General features: G+C 49.3%; 2 annotated features.

Annotated features, from left to right (window-relative positions):
- Window positions 1,352-1,908: an enhancer, noted in NCBI's record as "H3K27ac-H3K4me1 hESC enhancer chr8:23033956-23034512 (GRCh37/hg19 assembly coordinates)". NCBI's record gives its function as "activates a minimal SCP1, AML or CMV promoter by ChIP-STARR-seq in primed H9 embryonic stem cells {active_cell/tissue: H9 hESC(primed)}" and the evidence as "EXISTENCE:reporter gene assay evidence [ECO:0000049][PMID:30033119]".
- Window positions 4,250-4,751: an enhancer, noted in NCBI's record as "H3K4me1 hESC enhancer chr8:23031113-23031614 (GRCh37/hg19 assembly coordinates)". NCBI's record gives its function as "activates a minimal SCP1, AML or CMV promoter by ChIP-STARR-seq in naive H9 embryonic stem cells {active_cell/tissue: H9 hESC(naive)}" and the evidence as "EXISTENCE:reporter gene assay evidence [ECO:0000049][PMID:30033119]".

Genomic DNA, 6,179 nt, shown 5'->3' with positions numbered 1-6,179 from the left:
GAGATTGACAGATACCTGGGGAAGTTGAGATATTGGTCTTATTTGGCTTTAAATCAACAGTTGTGTTGGGGTTTGTTTGTTTTTCTGACAGAGTCTCGCTCTGCTCTGTCATTCAGGCTAAAATGAAGTGGCATCATCTCGACTCAATGCAACCTCCACCTTCGGGGCTCAAGCAATTCTAGTGCCTCAGCCTCCAGAGTAGCTGGGATAACAAGAGTGTGCCACAATTTCCTGGCTAATTTTTATATTTTTAGTAGAGACACGGTTTCACCATGTTGGCCAGGCTGGTCTCAAACTCCTGACCTCAAGTGATCTGCCCAACTCCACCTCTCAAAGTGATAGGTTTATGGGCATGAGCCAACGCCTCGCCTAAATCAACAGTTTTAAGCATGCTCAAATATCTAAAGGAAGTGTGTGTGTGTGTGTGTGTGTGTGTGTGTGTGTGTGTGTTCTAGAGGATTGCGGAGGATTAAAACAATAGCTCGCAGCCCGTGGCTTCAAGGGTGAGGCTGAGGAGCCCATGGGCAGGGGCTGCAGGGAAATATTCTAGGGAAACCCAGAGCAGCACCTGCACCTTTCTTCTGGGGAAACATTGATGCATCTATAGATATCTATACATACCTGTATCAACATATAGAGAATATCCACAAAGATATAGGAAATATTCGAAGGTTCCCAGTAGAAATCCTGGGACTGAAAAAAATATAATAGCTGAAGTGAAAAATCCAGTAGAGAAATTCCACAGCAGATTTGATCAGGCAGAAGAAAGAATCCGCTAATTTGAAGACAGGAGAAAAGAACAGGCCAGATAGCCTCTGCTGTGTGCAAGGAGGGAAGGAACTGCTTCACAAAAGCAGACCTTCCCTTGCTTGTCTGTTCTCCTACTAGAGAAAGCAGTAGATGATCATATCTGAAGAGTATGTTGGTAACATCAAACATAAAAAGAAGGCAATTAAGGGTAAAATCCTGAGATATGTGTGAATTCATGACCAAATTAACTATGGAAACTTACATAAAGGAAGTGTAGAGGTTTTGTTTTTCTTTTTGCCCCTGTCCTCCCATTCTTCCCTGAAACAGCTCTGAGTAACACAGGCTGTGTTCTTGCTGTGACTCACACCTTCCTGCCTTCTCTTCCTTCAGGCTTGCTGAAGTCGGTGTGGGGTTGTTTCCTGCCTCTGACTCCCTGGAACTTAAAGTGACAGAGTCTTGGGGACTTGAATCCAGCACCTCCTTCTTCCCCTCCCTTTGGAGACAGGGACACTAGCACTGGGCTGGCTCACCCACAGCCTCCCGGGGGGTCCTCTGGCTGCACCTGGGGCTGCAGTTGGGCTCTGACAGAGCCGTCAAGGAAGGAGCAGTGGGTCCTCCTGAGAGGTGAGCTGGCCCTGGTTGTTAGGAAAGTCCTGTGGTCACTCTCCTGTGGCTTCCTCCAGCCCTGGCCCGATCTTCGCTTTCTCCCCTGAACTTCCCTGCATCCTCATGAGTGGGACCAGGTTGCTCAGCCCTGCAGGCATCTGGGAGACCCATTTCCTGTTTTCCTTGCCCTGGAGGAACCCCTCCCTCTTGCCTATAGCTCCTGGGAGGCCCAGGCGTGCTCCCATGCTGTTCCCCTTCCCCAGAGGGAAGGGAGTACTGCTCCGGGTCCCCCCTGCTTCTCACTTGCCCTCCCCATGAACTCCTCGGCCTCACTTGAAACCCTGGGCTGTGAGCTATGGTTTGAACCCTCCACAATCCTCCAGTCTCATCTTTCCTCTTCTTAGACTTGACCTTTCTTTCCTCCTGCTCTATTCTTCCTTTTTCCCACAAGCCAGCACTAGGCAGGGCTCACTGTGTGTGATACTTCATTACAGGCGACTCATTCTTCAGCTCTGTGCCCCTTTTCCTAACATTCGGACCCTGCCCAAAGCCCCCCACAAAACATAAAGTTAATAAACATCCTGTGAGTCCCCCTCCAAAGATTAAGAGGATGGCCTGTGTTCTCAAGATGGGCAAAGGCGAGAGTCCAGTGTCATGCTCCACCCAAATACCAGCCCCTCTCCCCAAAACCTCTATCACCAGTATGCGAAGGGCAAAGAAGTTGTGAATATTTGAGAATACATCTTTGGCCACATTTCTAATCACATTCATTAGGCAATTTTCTAGAAGAAGTAGAATATCGGCATTAACCCGTACAGGTGCGCGCGCGCACACACACACACACACACACACACACAGCTGTGATTCCTACCAACAGTGCATCACTTTAGATCTGACATCACTGTTCTTTGGATTTCATTTTTCCTAACTAGGAAAGAATTAGTTGACTTTGATGACATTTCTCTGATATATGTTTCATATATTGGTCAGTACTTTAAATTTCTTTGTTCAAATTCATTTTTTAGGATTTGTTTTGTCTAGAAAGACAGGCTTCATGCTTCCCAAATACTAATAACAGATTTCTGGTTTTTTAAATTTGCCTATTCTTTTTGTCTTAGATTTTAACGTACTGAAATTTTAAATTTTAAGTAGCTAAATCTATAGGTACACTTATTTTTTTCTTGGTCATAAACTTAGAAAGTCCATTGCCCAACATAAAATAAAATGAACTTCTCTAATTTCTTAAGGAGATTTTATTAAATCATTAGATTTGTAGCATATAGTGATGTAAAGTCCATGGACATTACTTTTGATATAGAAAGTGTGATGTTGCCCTTAATTTTTCTGTGTTACTCTCATCTGTCCAACCCCAGTGAGCGACTGATTATTCCTTCCTCTGAACCTTGTGGTTTATGGTGTTTATGGCAGGTTCATTCCATAGCACGAAGGCGTCAATCATTAATCTATGGTGATTAATCCTCAGTCATCTCCCTGCTCTGAGCTGAGGGATGTGCTAGTGTTGAAAGTTCCATTGCTCTGATCACTGGCGGCCGGACCCTCTCCTCCAAGAGCCACCTCATGAGCATCAACTCAGGAATGCTGGAAGTCGTTTTATGATTAAAATAAATAAAGCCCCTCTCACCACAATTGCTCAGGAAACATCAGTGTTTTGAAGCTTTGGCCCCAAAACCAGGAGCAGAGAAAAAAACAGATGTTTCTTATTACGTCCCAGCCATGAATACCAAGAGAGAGGAACACTGGGGCCATTTCAGAAACTGCTTACCACAGGCCCCATGTGGGCTCAGGGGAGAGAGGCCCTGGCCTGGAGGAGGAAGAGTGAACGGGGAGTGTGAGTGACATTAAGTGTTTGCTAACGTGAGACTAGCTGGACCCTCTCTCTTCTAGTGGTCCCTGAATCAGAGCCTTAGCACTACATATTGGAGTCTGGATTGCCTGTTTCAGGAATCTGGTCTCTCAACAATCATTAGATTTCTGAATGAAGATTTAGCATAAACACCCTGTATATGATAAAACAAAATTTTAAAGATTATATTTAATTTGTTTCGAGGCCTTCACGAAAAATTTAAAGAAATTATACCACCACAACCCATATTGACATCTACTGACCCCTGGAAACCAGTAGAGGAATATGTTAGGAAAAAATATTCTGCCAGGGACCCATCTGATGTTGGCCTGACCACCTGAGCGCAGGCACTGGTCCCACTCATTAACAGATCTAAGAAACATGAGGTACCAGCCCTACTACCCAAAACCCTGAGTGCTATAGGCTCAGACAAAAAGGCAAAGTTCTAGCTAAGAAAATATTAAGAAATTGCCTGGCGCGGTGGCTCAGGCCTGTAATCCCAGCACTTTGGGAGGCCGAGGTGGGCGGATCACGAGGTCAGGAAATCGAGACCAACTAACACGGTGAAACCCTGTCTCTACTAAAAATACAAAAGATAAATTATCCAGGCGCGGTGGTGGGCGCCTGTAGTCCCAGCTACTGGGGAGGCTGAGGCAGGAGAATGGCGTGAACCCAGGAGGCGGAGCTTGCAGTGAGGCGAGATAGCACCACGGCACTCCAGCCTGGGCAACAGAGCGAGACTCCATCGAAAAAAAAAAAAAAGAAAATATTAAGAAATTGAGAGGTGACAGCATGCTGGCAGTCCTCAGAGCCCTCCCTTGCTCTCGGCAGGGCTCCCACTTTGGCGGCATTTGAGGAGCCCTTCAGCCCCCCCACTGCACTGTGGGAGCCCCTTTCTGGGCTGGCCAAGGCTGGAGCCCACTCCCTCAGCTTGCAGGGAGGTGTGGAGGGAGAGGCGCGAGCGGGAATCGGGGCTGCGTGCGCGCTTGCGGGCCAGCTGGAGTTCCGGGTGGGCGTGGGCTTGGCGGGCCCGCACTCGGAGCAGTCGGCCAGCCCTGCTGGCCCCGGGAAATGAGGGACTTAGCCCCCCGGGCCAGCAGCTGCGGAGGGTGTACTGGGTCCCCCAGCAGTGCCAGCCCACTGGCCCTGTGCTCGATTTCTCACCGAGCCTTAGCTGCCTTCCTGCGGCGCAGGGCTCGGGACCTGCAGCCCGCCATGCCTGAGGCCTCCCACCCACTCCATGGGTTCCTGTGCGGCCCAAGCCTCCCCGACGAGCACCTCCCCCTGCTCCATGGCGCCCCAATCCCATGGACCACCCAAGGTCTGAGGAGTGTGAGCACACGGCACGGGACTGGCGGGCAGCTCCACCTGCAGCCCCAGTGCGGGATCCACTAGGTGAAGCCAGCTGGGCTCCTGAGTCTGGTGGGGACGTGGAGAGTCTTTATGTCTAGCTCAGGGATTGTAAATACACCAATCGGCACTCTGTATCTAGCTCAAGGTTTGTAAACACACCAATCAGCACCCTGTGTCTAGCTCAGGGTTTGTGAGTGCACCAATCGACACTCTGTATCTAGCTGCTCTGGTGGGGCCTTAGAGGATCTGTGTGTCAAAACTGTGTATCTAACTAATCTGATGGGGACGTGGAGAACCTTTGTATCTAGCTCAGGGATTGTAAATGCACCAATCAGCGCCCTGACAAAACAGGCCACTCGGGTCTACCAATCAGCAGGATGTGGGTGGGGCCAGATAAGAGAATAAAAGCAGGCTGCCCGAGCCAGCATTGGTAACCCCCTGGCGTCCCCTTCTACACTGTGGAAGCTTTGTTCTTTTGCTCTTTGCAATAAATCTTGCTACTGCTCACTCTTTGGGTCCATGCTGCTTTTATGAGCGGTAACACTCACCGTGAAAATCTGCAGTTTCACTCCTGAGCCCAGCGAGACCACGAGCCCACCAGGAGGAATGAACAACTCCAGACGCGCTGCCTTAAGAGCTGTAACACTCACCGCGAAGGTCTGCAGCTTCACTCCTGAGCCAGCGAGACCACAAACCCACCAGAAAGAAGAAACTCCTAATACATCTGAACATCAAAAGGGGCAGACTCCAGACGTGCCACCTTAAGAGATGTAACACTCACCGCGAGGGTCTGCGGCTTCATTCTTGAAGTCAGTGAGACCAAGAACCCACCAATTCCGGACACAAAATTACACTGATCAATATATTCATAGTTCGAGATACTTCTGGGAACCGATGTGTGGATTTTTCCCACCCTGACCACTTTTCCCACCTCAGATGAGTGCCCCATAATTCAATTCACTTCTTTTTTTTTTTTTTTTTTTTTTTTGAGACGGAGTCTCGCTCTGTCGCCCAGGCTGGAGTGCAGTGGCGGGATCTCGGCTCACTGCAAGCTCCGCCTCCCGGGTTCACGCCATTCTCCTGCCTCAGCCTCCCAATAGCCCGCCATCACGCCCGGCTAATTTTTTATGGTTTTTAGTAGGGACAGGGTTTCACCCTGTTAGCCAGGATGGTCTTGATCTCCTGACCTCGTGCTTCGCCTGCCTTGGCCTCCCAAAGTGCTGGGATTACAGGCATGAGCCACCACGCCCAGCCAATTCAATTCACTTCTGACACAAATCGGAGGTAGTGCCGACCCCACAGGGCAAGGACTCAGTGCCACAGACTCCCCCCACTTCAGGTGCAAATCACAAGCAGGTGGTCTGATATGGTTTGGCTGTGTGTCCTCACCCAAATCTCATCTCAAATTGTAATCCCCACATGTCAAGGGGGGAACGTGGTGGGAGATGTCTGGATCGTGGGGTTGGTTTCCTCATGCTGTTCTCATGATAGTTCTCGCAACTTCTGATGGTTTTATAAGGCTTTGGCAATTCCTCATTCACTCTCCCTTCTGCCGCCTTGTGAAGAAGGTGCCTGCTTCCCCATCGTCCTCCGCCATGACTGTAAG

Source organism: Homo sapiens, chromosome 8, assembly GCF_000001405.40.
Source record: "Homo sapiens chromosome 8, GRCh38.p14 Primary Assembly".
NCBI lineage: Eukaryota > Metazoa > Chordata > Mammalia > Primates > Hominidae > Homo > Homo sapiens.
Note: the sequence above shows the minus strand (reverse complement) of the source record. Positions and strands in the feature narration are given on the sequence as shown.